At 48.3% G+C, this 15,209-nt stretch overlaps 1 protein-coding gene across 7 annotated transcripts in view, besides 4 other annotated features; it reads right to left on the bottom strand.

Moving 5' to 3' along the window:
* Positions 1–11,006, bottom strand: part of TBC1D2 (TBC1 domain family member 2) — a 56,652-nt gene extending 45,646 nt beyond the window's left edge. For 6 of the 7 annotated variants that reach the window (XR_929824.4, NM_018421.4, NM_001410988.1 and 3 more), the window contains exons 1-2: positions 10,530–11,006; positions 7,142–7,283 (exon numbers count right to left, since the gene is read on the bottom strand). Coding sequence is in view for 5 of the 7 variants with exons in the window: in NM_018421.4 (NP_060891.3) it covers positions 7,142–7,283; positions 10,530–10,898 (511 nt within the window). In the remaining 2 variants the exon portion in view is untranslated. The remainder of the gene's footprint in view (positions 1–7,141; positions 7,284–10,529) is intronic. The other variant, NR_051978.2, reaches the window with a different exon arrangement.
* Positions 3,186–4,103: an enhancer, noted in NCBI's record as "H3K27ac-H3K4me1 hESC enhancer chr9:101010111-101011028 (GRCh37/hg19 assembly coordinates)". NCBI's record gives its function as "activates a minimal SCP1, AML or CMV promoter by ChIP-STARR-seq in naive H9 embryonic stem cells {active_cell/tissue: H9 hESC(naive)}" and the evidence as "EXISTENCE:reporter gene assay evidence [ECO:0000049][PMID:30033119]".
* Positions 4,104–5,020: an enhancer, noted in NCBI's record as "H3K27ac-H3K4me1 hESC enhancer chr9:101011029-101011945 (GRCh37/hg19 assembly coordinates)". NCBI's record gives its function as "activates a minimal SCP1, AML or CMV promoter by ChIP-STARR-seq in primed H9 embryonic stem cells {active_cell/tissue: H9 hESC(primed)}" and the evidence as "EXISTENCE:reporter gene assay evidence [ECO:0000049][PMID:30033119]".
* Positions 11,021–11,070: a silencer, noted in NCBI's record as "silent region_20119". NCBI's record gives its function as "represses an Ori minimal core promoter by ATAC-STARR-seq in GM12878 lymphoblastoid cells {active_cell/tissue: GM12878}" and the evidence as "EXISTENCE:reporter gene assay evidence [ECO:0000049][PMID:35858748]".
* Positions 11,241–11,730: an enhancer, noted in NCBI's record as "active region_28695". NCBI's record gives its function as "activates an Ori minimal core promoter by ATAC-STARR-seq in GM12878 lymphoblastoid cells {active_cell/tissue: GM12878}" and the evidence as "EXISTENCE:reporter gene assay evidence [ECO:0000049][PMID:35858748]".

Raw genomic sequence — 15,209 nt, forward strand, 5'->3', positions numbered from 1 at the left:
AGTGAAACTCCGTCTCAAAAAAAAAAAAAAAAAAAAAAAAGGCAGACCTACAGTTAATTCTACATCTGAGAGTCCATCCTAAAGATGGAAGTGCAGACAAAACTTTATGTGCCAAGAGGTTCGTTCCTTCTAGCATTGTCACAATAGCCTCAAGTTGGAAAAGATCTAAAAACTTGGGAATAGGTTAAGTATATCAGAATGTCTTCATATGACGGAATATTAATCATTCAAAACAATGTGAATAAATACTTATAAACAGGGAAACCTGTATGGAATATAATATTAAGTGGAAAAAGCCAGATTAAAAAAAAATTGGGCCGGGCGCAGTGGCTCACACCTGTAATCCCAGCACTTTGGGAGGCTGAGGCAGGCAGATCATGAGGTCAGGAGATCGAGACTGTCCTGGCTAACACGGTGAAACCCCATCTCTACTAAAAATACAAAAAATTAGCCAGGCATGGTTGCAGGCGCCTGTAGTCCCAGCTACTTGGGAGGCTGAGGCAGGAGAATGGCCTCAACCCAGGAGGCGGAGCTTGCAGTGAGCCTAGATCGTGCCACTGCACTTCAGCCTGGGCGACAGAGTGAGACTCCATCTCAAAAAACAAAACAAAGAAACAAAACAAAAACAAACAAAAAATTGGAAGGCTGGATGTTGTGGCTCACACCTGTAATCCCGCCACTTTGGGAGGCTGAGCTGGGTGGGTCACTTGAGCTGAAAGTTTGAGACCACCTGAGCAGCATGGCAAAACCCCATCTCTACAAAAAACAGAAAAATTAGCTGAGTGTGGTGGTGCGTGCCTATAGTCCCAGCTACTTGGGAGGCTGAGGTGGGTGGATCACTTGAGCCCAGGAGGTGGAGGTTGCAGTGAGCGGAGATGGTGCCACTGCATTCCAGCCTGGGCAACAGAGTAAGACCCCGCCTCAAAAGAAAAAAAAAATTGGGGTTATAGTGTAATCTCAATTGTACAGAAAAAGTCTCAAAGAAATATACTCCGCAATCTTAACAGTGGTTTGAGCTGCGTGATGGGATTTGCAGTGAGCAGGCTATTCTCATTGTATTTTACTGTTTTTTTTCCAAATTTTCTACAATAAACATGGGTTACTTTATAAACAGAAAAAGAATATGTATTTATCAAAAATAGATGTTTATACAGAGATTTTAAAAACACACGCAAATATTAGGGTCACACTACTGAGTATCAAAAAACAAAGTAGGACATTTTATATTATTATATGATCTGAAATGTGTTTAAATAAAAGGCAGGCAGGAGGTCATAACATAAGGTTAATACTGGCTGCCTCTGGGTGATAGGATTACAGGTTCTTTTTCTTTTTAGTCTTCCAAATGTTCTGTTTAAACAATGATTCTTCTACAGTGAGTGACTTGAAAATGTTTAATGTTAAGCAAGCTTTCAAGGCCAAGGAAATTATGTGAAGTATAAGAGAGGGGAGGTGAAATATTTAGAAATTAACTTTGAGTGTTAGAAAAAGGAGAAAAGAGCCAGGACCACTTATGGGTTGGTATGAGCTTGATTAGACAGCCCCTGAGACCTACCAGGGCAGCAGACACTTTCCACTTGGAGCCCTCTTACTGGGAGACTGAAACATTTAGGAGCGGAGATTTGTTTTTGCACTATATCTGCAAAAAGGGTGTGGGTATAAAAATATTAAATATAATGATGGGGGTCAGGGGGAGCTGTTCAACCTACCTAAGAAAAGAAACTTAGCAGTAGTTCAAACAACAGACAGTGTATTTGTAAATTCCTAACAGGCTCCATCAGATCTGGCAGGTAGGCCAGCACTCACACTCCTCAAATGCGAGATCTTTGAGGCCCTCCCTTCCATGAATCCTCTCACCAAACACAGACTGGGTGTTTACCCTGAGGCTTGTGAGTGGGGCTGGAGAAAGTGAGAAGAATAAAAGCAGAAACTCAAAGCCTAAGGAGCAGGGAAGGGGAAAAAGTGCACACCTGGGGTCAGGTGCTGGGGTAGGGGCAGTTCTGGGAGGTGGAGACAGAGTCTTTCCAACCCAGGTCAGGGGAAACTTCCTGGAGGAGGGGCACTGCAGCTGGGCCTTAAGGACTGGGGTTGATTTGAATCTGCAGGAGGAACCAGGAAAGATCTTCCTATGCCAAGCATACAGGCAACAGTAAGGGGTTTCAGACCCAGAGCTGAGTTTGCGGGGAGGAAGCTGGGAAGATGGGGTGGGGAAGGCCAAACAGAAAGGGGTGTGGGTAAGTGGTTGGATCTCATCACGATGGAAACCAGAGCTCCTAGGGGTTTGAGCAGGAGGCTGAAGAACCAAACCTGGCTTTGGGTAGAAGATCTGTAGCTGGGCCCTGTTTCCATGGGGAGGGTGTTGCGACCTGGTTGCAAATCAGTAAAAAAAAAAAAAAATCAAGGGCCGGGCGCAGTGGCTCATGCCTGTAATCCCAGCACTTTGGGAGGCCAAGGCAGGCAGATCACCTGAGGTCAGGAGTTCAAGATCAGCCTGGCCAACGTGGGGAAACCCATCTCTACTAAAAATACAAAAACAAACTGGGCGTGGTGACGTGTGCCTGTAGTCCCAGCTACTTGGGAGGCTGAGGCAGGAGAATCGCTCGAACCTGGGAGGCGGAGGTTGCAGTGAGCCGAGATCACACCACTGCATTCCAGCAGCCTGTGTGACAGGGCGAGACTCCGTCTCAAAAAAAAAAAACAAAAACAAACACAAACAAACAAAAAAAAAAACAAGAAGGATACTCTCTACCTTGTCTCCTTCAGAGTTAATGTATACAAAAATGTTTAAAAAGCCGTAAAGCTGGGCTGGGCACGATGGCTCACGCCTGTAATCCCAGCACTTTGGGAGGCGGAGGTGGGTGGAGCACGAGGTCAGGAGATTGAGACCATCCCAGGTAACACAGTGAAACTCCGTCTCTAATAAAAATACAAAAAAATTAGCCAGGCGTGGTGGCACGCACCTATAGTCCCAGCTACTTGGGAGGCTGAGGCAGGAGAATCATTTGAACCCAGGAGACGGAGGTTGCAGTGAGCCAAGATCGCGCCACTGTACTCCAGCCTGGGTGACAGAGCGAGACTCCGTCTCAAAAAAAAAAAAAAAAAAAAAAGCCATAAAGCCCCATATTGTGGACTCACATCTTTCAAAGTAACCTTTAAGCCAGACTCTGAACTGATTCGAAAAAAATAAAATTTTTTTATTTATCAATATTTTAACCATCTTATTCTCCTTCATTCAAAGCAAACCAAAAAAACTTAACAGTTTCTCTAAGATTTTGATATCTTAGCAGTACTTCCCTAACTGCTAATATCTGTTTTCTTGTAAGTGCCACCTGTGGGCCTAGATCAACTCTGAGACTACACAGAGCCAAGTCCTGGGGGTTGTCATCACTGGTAGGTTTTACCAATGAGGAAATAGCCACTCAGAGAGGTTGAGTTTTGTGGCCAAAGTCAAAGCTAGCAGGTGACACCGTTATAGACTCAAACACGTCCCTACTTTTGCTTTTCCCATTAAACAATGTGGCTTATCAGAGCAGCCTTTCTAACAAGCAGATCATCTAAGACAGGAGGGGCTGCCCATGAAGGCACAAGCTCCCAATGCAAAGGAGTGTGCAAGGCACGGGCGGCACAGGATGGCGATGCCCCAACAGAGACCAGCACTTCCCACAGGAGGCAGAATCAATGACCTGAGGCTGCAGTCTGGGGCACCCTGGAGAAATGCCCTCCATGAGTGACCACACAGAGGATTTTCAGCAGCATTTATTTGTAATTCTCCTTTTACGTGAGCTCTGAGGGTTGCCCCACCACCAGTGGGAAGAAGGCGCTGCCTAGACAAAAAAAGGGCCTGACCCAGGAGGTCACTGCCTCCCTAGAGGGCCCTGGACGAGTGCCTGGCTGCCCCTTAGCTTTGGGAGGGCAGGTTATGAGTCTGCAGCCTAGGGTTTGAATTTCAGCACTGATGTTTTCTTACTACATGACCTAGGACAGGTCTCTTGACCTCTTTGAGCCTTAGTTTCCTGGTCTATAAAATGGAAATAGCACTAACTACTCTATAAAATTATTGTGAGGATTAAATAAGATGACGCATGTAAAGTGTTGGGGCAGCAGGCATATTTCATGACAGTACACATTTATACAGGTCCTTTGTAAACTGTAGCTTACTGTGGCAACTTGCTATTCTTATTATTATAAGTCTCGTGGGTTCCCTTTGATCTTTCTTGGCTCTGCGGAGACCGTTGTTTAGGTAAAGCATAAAATAAAGTTGTAAATCCTTAAAAGCAGGAGAGAACATGCCTTGCAGATTGCTCAAGAGCAGTGACGAGACACTTTTTACCAGAAGTCTCTGACTCAAAGTCAGACATGGGTCAGGAGGTTTTCAACGACATGGGAGCGGGCCGCTGCTTCCTCAGGAAGGGTGGAGGCGGGCGAGGTGGGGCAGCCTGCTCCACGTGGCTAATCCAGGCCTTGCTGACTTGCCCAAGACACCAGAAACATCTTTCTAGGTGGGCTGGGAAGGTTTTGCCAGGCCCTGGGTCTGGGAGGAGAGTGCAGGCTTGCTGCAAGGCGAGGAAAGGTTTCAAGAGGAGAAGCTCACGTCCCTGCTTCCTGAGTCTCAGGCAGCATCCTCCTCAGGAGACTAGAACCCAGGTCATCACAGCAACTCCACCCCTTTCTCCAATGCCCACAGCAGGGGCTGGCCTGGAAGAGGCCCGCCGTGTGTGCTGAAGCAAAGCCGCACAATTAAAGAACCTGCAACAGGTTCCCCACAGCAGAAGAGGTCTGAGGATCCCAGAGCCGTTCTTCCACAATCTGCTTCTTCAAATTTCAGTTAAGACACAGGAATTCTATTATTGCAGAGGTTTCTGCTGGCCTCTAGTCTGATGCTGATCTTTGCAGCAGCATCAACCCAGGCTGCAGTTTTCTGCAAAACCAGGGTTGTCTGGCTCCCTGGCAGATGGGGAGTGGGGGCTGGAGCAGAAGCAAAGAAACCCTTCAAAAGAAACTCCAAAGAAATTACTAATGATTATTAAGAATAAAAGGAACAGTTATTATACTAGTAACAGCACCTATATATGTTTGTGTATATACTATTATGATAGTAATAGCATGGGTGTGTTCTATGCACAGACATATAGACATAGAATAACAATATTATTAGGACAACTCCCATGTATTGAGCACTTACTATGTGCCTGAGGTTATGCTAAGGGGTTTACATTCCTTTCCTCATTTAATTATAAAGTTTAGTGTATTGACTTACACATTCATTCCACAAATATCCAATGTGCCAGGCAGGACACCAGGGAGGTGACACAGGCAACCAAAAAAAAGTCCCCACCCTTAAGGGCTAGCGGGTGGAGATGGACAAGGACGGGGGTAATTATTAATAGAACACAATGGAACAGGTCTCCCTTGAAGTGTTTGAAAAAAGTGTTGAGGGCCCAGAGAGAATCCAGCTGACAAAGTCTGAGAAGGCTTCCAGGAGGAGGCTGGCAAGAAGAGAAGGCAATGCTGGAGCTTGGCCATAGAGAATAAGCAAGAATTTGCCAGGCAAAGGAGAGAGAGCAGAGACTCTGCCGAAGCATCAAGCCCAAGGTGGGGACTGGGGGAGCAGGCAGAGGTGAGATCAGGAGGGATGAGCCCTGAGTGCAGGAGTGAGGTGGTGGGTGGCATTGGATGGCAGTGACCGGGTTCAGGGTCAGGTTTAAGAAAGCTCACTCAGGCTGCAGAGAAGGGGATGGGTTCTGGCATGGCCTCCACATGGGGATACTGGAGAGGAGGCCACTGTGACTTTGAGAGATGAGGTGTGACCTGGGCAGTGGCAGCGAGAAAGGCCTGGGTCTGATGTATGGGTCAGAGGGCAAAAATGGCCAGCACAGTGATTGACTGGACTCACTGGCTGGAATTGAGGAAGGGTGGAGGGCAACTACTAGTGGGTACAAGAGGGGAAATCTACTGAGAGGAGGGAAGGGAAATGGGGAGAAGGGTTGGGGCAGATGTACTCAGCTTTGGACATGCAAAGCACCCAGGTACAGAGGTCCAGGGGGTACTTGGTAACAAGTCCTGCCCTTGCCTATTTGGCCTCCCTGTCAACTGAACATGAAGCACTTTAGACACAGTGTGGCTTTGTACTGGGACCTGATTTTCCACATTCTTGCAGGGGCAGCTGTGAGGTGGTCCATACCGATCCTAAAACCTGCCAATCATGTTCCTGGCTGCAGCATGGGGGTGGGAGGGTGTGGTCTCCTGGACTCTTCCACGTTGGGATGATCCAGGATTTGGGATCAAGAAACTTCATTTGTGAGTCATCTGGGGGAAAAGGATCCTATCTTATGGGAACACCAGCGATAAAAATAATTGATCTGGCCAGGCATGGTGGCTCATGCCTGTAATCCCAGCACTTTGGGAGGCTGAGGCGGGTAGATCACGAGGTCAGGAGTTCAAGATCAGCCTGGCCAAGATGGTGAAACCCCATCTCTACTAAAAATACAAAAATTAGCCGGGCGTGGTGGCACGTGCCTGTAATCCCAGCTGAGGCTGCCTCGGGAGGCTGAGGCAGAGAATTGCTTAAACCCGGGAGGCGGAAGTTGCAGTGAGCCGAGATTGCACCATTGCACTCCAGCCTGGGCAACAGAGTGAGACTCCATCTCAAAAAAAAAAAAAGTCACTGATCTACCCAACTCACGACACAAATCTACAACACTGCATTTTCTTATTAACCCTCCTCACAGCAATTCTGTGAAAGTTTGATTTCTTGAGGCCTTCCATAATAGTCATCACAATAGTAGCTCACAAGTATTGGGTTCTGACCATGTGCAGGCATTGTTCTAACCATTTTAGGTATATGAATTCATTTAATCCTCAAAACATCCCTAAGAAGTAGGGATAATTTATAAACCTCATCTTATGGGGAAGGAAACAAGCTCAGAAAGGTTAAACAACTTGCCTAAAGTTATATAGGACTAGGATTTGAACCCAGGCAGCCTGGCCTCAGCCCAAATTCTTGCCCTAACTAATCCTGAGTCATATCCCTGGCTCTCTGCTTCCTTAGCAGAGGGCTCCTCCCGCTCATTCCCAGCAGGAGGGTAAAGGCTTAATCACCAGAGCCCTGGGTGTGCAGGCAGGAGGGTAGCCCATTGGGTACCTAGCTCGAGGTGCAGGACGGGCCCATTCCCAGCCAGGGCGGCATCAGGGGTGGCAGGAGGTGCCGGCGGGCTGTTGTGGAATTCCCAGCGCTTCATCTGCAGCTGCTGCAGCCAGTACAGCATCGCTTGCTTGGTGGCGGCCTGAGAAGCACAAGGATTAGTTGGCAAGGCCCTGTGCCTGAAGGGTGGCACTGGGTGCAGGAAGAGGGGAAGGTTGTGGGAGGCTTAGGAATGCTTTCTTTCCCAGGAAAAAAAAAAGGGGGTCACTGTAGGTATGTATGCTTCCTGGCCACAGAAGATCATCAGGCTCTGGTCTCCCACTCAGCGGTTCCTTAGCTGCTCTGGGCCTCAGTTTCCTCATCTGTACTCTGGTGACAATAAGTCTCATTGCATAGGACAATGATGAGGATGAAATGAGACAAGGGTATCACACAGTATCTGACACACAGTAGGTGCTCAAAATGTGCTCACTGGATAGAGGAATTTGGAGGCGCTGTGAGAGGGGGAGGTGCACTGAATTCTGATATGCGTGGGGTCCTGGTACCATCACTATCTCTGTGTGACATCTCCAAGTCTTTGCTGCCTTTTGTGGAATAGGAGTAATCCTTGCCTTGGGGATGCACTGGAATCATGGATATGAATGGAGACTGGAAAGCCACATGCACATGTGACAACATGGTGGCACCTTCCAGGTGCTCTGGCCCTCCAAACAAGTTCATGGTAAATGCTGGTCATTAGTCTCCCAGCACTGGCTGGCGGTTGGTCCAAACATCCACTTTCACATCCAATAACTCCTGGATTCTTCAGGAGGGAGGCAAGGCAGGAGTGAGCACCCCTTTCTACAGATGGAGAAACTAAACCTCTGAAGTTGCCCAGGCATGTGGTGGTAGAACTAGTCCCATAACCCTGGTCTAGAAGTTGGATTTTATGGCCAGGAGATTAGTGGCTTCATAAAGAAGGCCTGAGATCAGCTGAGGTGGACTGCAGAAGATGAACAGCTCACCGGGCGTGGATGGGGATTCTCAGAGAGCTGCCTGCAATCAAGGCCACATGAGAACAACAGCGGGCTACATGGCAACAGAGGCAAACTCCCTATCTCAGGGGTTCACTGGTGTGCACTATGCAGGGGGGAGTCTGTGAAAGTGACCCTCAGGCTGTCACACAGGTATCAATAAGATAAATGATGCCCACCAGTGTTCTCTTTCCATACACTCTCTCAGAGAGACTGCAGCACCTCCCAGGTCTTCCCCATGACCTTAATGCTGATGAGCTCCAGCCGAACCCAAATACCCCATTTTATTAACTCATTTGACAAGGGTATACTGAGCATTGACATATGTGTCAGAGATAGTGCTAGGCACTGAATACAGGGGTGAGCCAACACACATGGTCCCTGTCCCCTTGGAACTTGAGAGTCTCCTGCAGGGGACATGTACCTGGATGTTCCATGGGCTCCTCATCCTGAGTTCCCTCCTGTCAGTGACTGACCCAACCAGGCAGTCAGCCAGTTACTCCAGCCACTCCTGACATCTCCCTCATTCTATTTCCCTACTATCCCGAGACACCTCCATTGTCCCCTTCCCCACAGCCACAGCTCTAGTTCAGCTGTCACTCTCTTCTGATCACCTTCTGATGGGCTCCCTGAGTACCAGCCTTGCCCTTCCCCTAGTTTCTTCTCTATCCAATAGTCAGACTGAGCTTTTGCTACTTGGCCTAATTTGCCAATTCCCCACCCTCGGGCCTCTGCTCTTCAACTCCATCCTTTGGGCCCCTCTGTTTTTCTGGCTCATGTGATTTGCCTGGACACTCAGGGCTGTATCATGGTTTCCTAATTTGCTCACGGTGCTCTCTTGGCCTGGAATACCTTTCTCCCTCTTGTCTGCTTGCCACCTATTTCTTCTTTCAAGCCTTGGGTGTGTCCCTCCTCCAGATGCCTTTCTGGCTAGCCCCTTCCACTTGGTGGAACTGACTCCTCCTGTCACCACACCTTCTTGCACAGACTTATCACATGTCTCTACAGAACATTTCAGGGTGCATGCAGGTTCTCCCTCAGTCTCTCCCACCAGACTTTAAGCTGTCAGAGAACCAGGGGTGGGGGTGCATTAGCTCCACACCCCGCCAAGCGCAGAGCCAGGAACAATGGAATACTATTATAAAGACCATGTGTTGAAGACCCTGCATACAGCAGTCAACCTGTGGAAGAGACACATAGACCCGGGAACCACATGACCTCGAAAATGCCTTCCCTGGCCAGGGATTCCTGAGTTTCATTATTTTAACCAAGTCCCCCAGCCTGGTCACCCGCCAAGTCCAGTCAGTAAAGGAGAACTGAACACGTGGGCATCCACAGATACCCACTTAGCTGGAGTTGGGGTTGGAGGGGTGGACAGATGGGGATGGGGTGGGGAAGGCTATCTCCTGGCACATTCTTCTCTGATGCCCATAGAACACTTAGCCCAGATCTGTCTTTCCAATTAAGTTATGGGACACCTCCTCTTGACATTAGCACTCTGACCTTGGTTCCATCACCTTGTGTGTGCATGTGTGCTTATGCAACAAAAAATTATTAAGTACTCCACTAGGTACCAGGCTGTATTCTAGGTGATGCAATTAATTCAACAATTTGTACATGCCTGTGATGTGTCAAATGCTTACAAACCACCTAGGTTCTGAGAGGTTAAGTAACTTGTCCAGGGTCACACAGCTAGTAAGTAGCAAATGTACAATTTGAATCCAAGCCCGTCTGATTTCAAAGAATGTGGCCTTTCTACTGCTTTAGGCTTTCTCAGTTACACATGATGATAAAACCTACCCCTTGCTGCTGATAGGAAAACAGGTTTAAGCATGCCTAGATGAACAATCTAGGCTGATCAGTGAAACCTAAGTGTTTATTTTCCTAATCCCTGCCAGTCTCTTCTCAGCATTCACTGACCTTGGCCAAAATATCAAGAAACGGGAATCAGAATCCTGGCCTTGAGAGAGGATTGCAAAGACCATATTTTGACTTACTTAGGTCCCAGGTAAGAAAGTTAAGGTAACTGCACTGTCAGGCACACCCAAAAGTAAAAGTTTTGATTCAGCACTGAGAGGTAGAAAGACTATGGGATTCCAAGCTACCCTACTCTCTAGACGCATGGACCTCGAGCCAGTCCTTTCATCTCCCTCTGACTCAGTTTCTTGATCCGTAAAATGGGTCTGTCTTCCCTGCCTTGTGGGAACCCAATGAGGAAATGGGTGGGAATGCACTTTGCAAAGCACAAAGTTCTTGGAACTGTCGTCACCGACACTCCAAATTTACTGTGTCCACCTCACACTCGCGCCCAGCCTTGCCCTGCGAAAAGGGGACCTCACGCCGCTGGAAAGGAGAAAGTCGTTGCAGGAATTTACCTTCAGGGTAATAACCCGGCTGGGAGTCTTGATTTCGAAGATCCCCTCCTCAGCGTCCGCCTTACAGTCAAACACTGCACTGGAGAGGTCGATGCTGTCCAAGGGATTGGCATCCTGAGCGGTCCGCGAGTAATACAGCTGACATTTCCTTTCGTCGTAGAAGAACCAGCGGGATTTCCAGCCCCGGATGGGCCCTTTGCCGCCGAACTTACTTAAATACCCACAGAGTTTCTTGGGGACCGCCTCCAGGGACCGGGCGCAGTCCCCCGATTCTTCCTCCGGAGGCGGCACCTGTGGATCCCTGGCAGACTCTTCGGACCCAGGGGCAGAGGAGCTGGACTCCGGGGCGTTCTCCCCAGCGCCCTCCATCGCTGCCAGCCGGAGACTGCGGAGGGACGAGGGGTCCGCGGGACCACCAGGGACAAATCTCGGAGACTCGGCGGGCAGCTTCCCAAAGGGAGACACCTGGGCGGGGGCGGGGCCGACGGCGAACCCGCCCCCAGGAAGCCACAGAGTCGGGACCGGGTGCGGTGCGCGCGCCTCAAAGATCGCAAACCCAGGTTACGGCGGCTGGCCACGCCCCTCCACCGCCAGGCCACGCCCCCGCAGCGCTCAGTCGGCTCCCTGCAAAGCCCAGCTGCTTCCGGCTTTTTCTCCGCGCCAGTCAGCCATCTTTACTGAGGGCAGCCGTGCTCCCTGGCTTCAGGTTAAAGGCGTGGTGGCACTGAGTTAGGTTAACCGCGGGCAGAGAAGCCTGTCCCTAGCTACACTTCCCTGGTAGTTCGCATAGTCACCTAGAAAGATAGTGCTTTCTTGCACCCGATGGGCTGCTTGTTCCCTCCCTGTGCCGCGCGGGGCACCCTCGGACGGCGCATCTCGCGGCCATTGGCTGAAAGGAAGACCGCTGGGAGGCCCATCTTCCGGCGTCGCCCGGGCAGCGCGGCTCCGGAGCTGTCTGCCACTCTTCTCCTGGTGTTCCTTCAGCCCCGTCAGTGACGCCGCGGACGGCCTTCTTATCCCTCGCCTGACAGCAGTGGCCTCCCCAGCTCTCTGTCCTGGCTCCTATTCGCCTCCTGACAGCGCTGGTTGTGTTGCTTGGGGCGCCCAGGCGCGGCCGCTGCGCTGCGGAAACCCATGCCACTCCTGGGTCATAGTTGGGTGCAGTACATTTATTTTTATTTTGTTATTGCTATTATTATTTTTAGAGACGGTCTGGCTCTGTCACCCAGGCTGGAGTGCAGTGGCGCGATCAGAGCTCACTGCAGTCTCCGCCTCCCGGTCTCAAGCCATCCTCCCGCCTCAGTCTCCCGAGTAGCTGAGACCGCAACTGCGCACCACCACACCCGGCTAATTTTTAAATTGTTTTTTGCAGAGAGGGGGGTCTTGAACTCCTGGCCTCAAGCGATTCTCCTGCCTCGGCCTCCTAAAGTGCTGGAATTACAGGCGAGAGCCACCGCGCCAGGCTGTTTTGTAAATAAGTAAAAGAATTTAGGGTTTGACTAACTTGCTCAACTTCTGCCTCATTTTACCTGTTTCCCCTTAAACTTCTCCCCTTCCCTCCTAAGGCGCATTTCTCCATTAGGGTTGCGGAGCCCAATTGCGTCCAGCTTTCTTTAGGAGCTTCTTTCTGCCTTTCTCTTGCCCTTTGTTCAGCCTTTCCTCTTACTTCATCGTCTCCCCCTCAGCCGTCGTTAACGAGACCCTCATGCACACTCAGTGATATTGACAAGAAGCAGGGTGGGGGTAAAGGCGAGGGCTCTAGAGTCTATTTGCATAATTTTCAGATTCCCACTCTGCAATACTGAGTGATTTGCTCAACCTAAAAATGGAGATAACACTTCTTCCTACCCACCCCCGACCCGCCGCCAGACAACTTTACGGTGAAGCTAATGAAATTTATGTTCACTTGCATGGGTCGCTGGGATTTGTAGTCTAACAGGTGGGGAGTTGCAACCAGGGAGCATTTCTCCTAAATGCCAGAGAGCTCTTCATTTGTTATAATTTACAATTTATTTTCTCATTCTAAATAACCATCGTCATACCTAATTTTGTGTTCATAATTTTGTAATTTTTTAAAAATCAGAAGGCCCTTAATGCTGTTTAATTCCAGTCCCCACAAAACCTGGATCTACACCTGTCTACCCTTAGAGTTGTTTTGATAATTAAATAAAATAATATGTGTGAAGCTCTTAGTACAGAATGTGGGACAAAATATTTCTTTTCTTTTCGAGACAGAGTTTCGCTCTTGTTGCGCAGGCTGGAGTGCAATGGCGCGATCTCGGCTCACCGTGACCTCCGCCTCCCGGATTCAAGCGATTCTCCTGCCACCGCACCCAGCCAGTTTCTTTTCTTTTCTTTTTTTTTAATTTTTTTTTTTTTTTTTTTTTTTGATACAGAGTCTCGCTCTGTCGCCCAAGCTGGAGTGCAGTGGCATGCTCTCCAATTCCCATTCTCCTGCCTCAGCCTCCCGAGTAGCTGGGATTACATACACGCGTCACCATACCCAGCTAATTTTTGTATTTTTAGTTGAGACGGGGTTTCACCATGTTGGCTAGGATGGTCTGGATCTCCTGACCTTGTGATCCACCGGCCTTGGCCTCCCAAAGTGCTGGGATTACAGGCATGAGCCACAGTGCCTGGCCCCATTCCTGATTTTTAAAACCTCTTAATAAAACAAACAGCATACCTTATTTGTTCTAGGTTTTGTAGCTAGGCAATGATAAATATTTGAAAGAATAATTATAAATATATTACGTATACCAGAAAAACTCAAGTGGTGGCCTGTTTTAAAAAACTGTGCATATGTGTATAGATGTCTCCAGCAGCAAACAAATGGAAAATATAATGGACAACATCCCTTACATAAATGACTTACATAATGAATACCTTATTGCTTTATAGTAGGATATAAGACAAACCAAATATGTCCCTGAGTGGGAAGAGTTAATATTGTAAAGATGTCACATTCCTCAAATTAATCCATACAGTTAATACATTTTCAATCAAACTCTCGATAGGCTTTTTTTTTTTTTTTTTTTTTGAGACAGAGTCTTGCTCTGTCACCCAGGCTGGAGTGCACTGGAGCGGTATCGGCTCACTGCAACCTCTGCCTCCTGGGTTTAAGCTATTCTCCTGCCTCAGCCTCCCTAGTAGCTGGGACCACAGGCAGGGCACCATGCTCAGCTAATTTTTGTATTTTCAGTAGCGATGGGGTTTCACCATGTTGGCCAGGCTGGTCTTGAATTCCTGACCTCAAGTGATCCATCCACTTCAGCCTCCCAAAGTGCTAGGATCACAGGTGTGAGCCACCATGCCTGGCCTCGATAGGCTTTAAAAAAACTTTTTATTTTTGAATAGTTTTAGAAAAAGTTACAGAGACAATGGGAGAATTTCTGTAGACCCTACACCCAGTTTCCCCTAATGTTAACATTTTGCTTAATCCTGGTATGTTTGGCAAAAATAAACATCTAACATTGGTACAAAACTATTGACAAGGCCGGGTGCGGTTGCTCACGCCTGTAATCCCAGCACTTTGGGAGGCCGAGGTGGGTGGATCACGAGGTCAGGAAATCGAGACCATCCTGGCTAACATGGTGAAACCCCGTCTCTACTAAATATACAAAAAATTAGCCGGGCGTAGTGGTGGGCGCCTATATTCCCAGCTACTCGGGAGGCTGAGGCAGGAGAATGGCGTGAACCCAGGGACGGAGCTTGCAGTAAGCCAAGATCGTGCCACTGCACTCCAGCCTGGGCAACAGAGCGAGACTCCCTCTCAAAAAAAAAAAAAAAAACTATTGACAAAACTACAGTCTTTATTTGGATTTTGTCTGTTTTGTACCAATAGCCTTTTTCTATTCCAAGATCCCATTCAAGATGCCATAGTTAGTCATCATTTTCCCTTAGTCTCCTCTGCATTGTGACGTATTTCTGTTTTTCCTTGTTTTTCATGGTCCTGACAGTTTGAAGAATACTAGTCAGGTGTTTTGTAGAATACAATCACTTTGGGTTTGTCTCATGATTTCACTGAGGTTATGTTTTGGGGAAGACTACCACAGAGGTGAGGTGCCCGTCTCATCACAACATCAGAGTACATGATATCTGCATGGTTCCTATACTGTTAAGTTGTGTAGCTTAAATTTTCTCATTTTATTTTATTTATTTTTTTGAGACAGAGTCTTGCTTTCTTGCCCAGGCTGGAGTACAGTGACACAATCTCGGCTCACTGTAGCCTCCGCCTCCCGGGTTCAAGCGGTTCTCCTGCCTCAGCTTCCCAAGTAGCTGGGGTTACAGGTGCTCGCCACCACACCCGGCTAATTTTTTGTATTTTTAGTAGAGACAGCGTTTCACCATGTTGGCCAGGTTGGTCTCGAACTCCTGACCTCAGGTGATCCACCCACCTCGGCCTCCCGAAGTGTTGGGATTACAGGCATCAGCCACCATGCCCGGCCTAAATTTTCTCATTTTAAAAGGATGTTAAGGCCGGGAGTGGTGGTTTTAATAACAAGAAAAGTTAATCACTTGGATAAGGTAGGGTCTGCCAGATTTCTCTGCTATAAAGCTGCTCCTTTTCATTTCAACACACTGTTCTTTGGAATTGGGTTGCTAAATTCAGTCCCCCCTTATAAGTAGCTCCACCTCCTGGAGGGGTTGATAGGAATTTTTGCAGCCTATTAAAATGAT

Source organism: Homo sapiens, chromosome 9, assembly GCF_000001405.40.
Source record: "Homo sapiens chromosome 9, GRCh38.p14 Primary Assembly".
Taxonomy (NCBI): domain Eukaryota; kingdom Metazoa; phylum Chordata; class Mammalia; order Primates; family Hominidae; genus Homo; species Homo sapiens.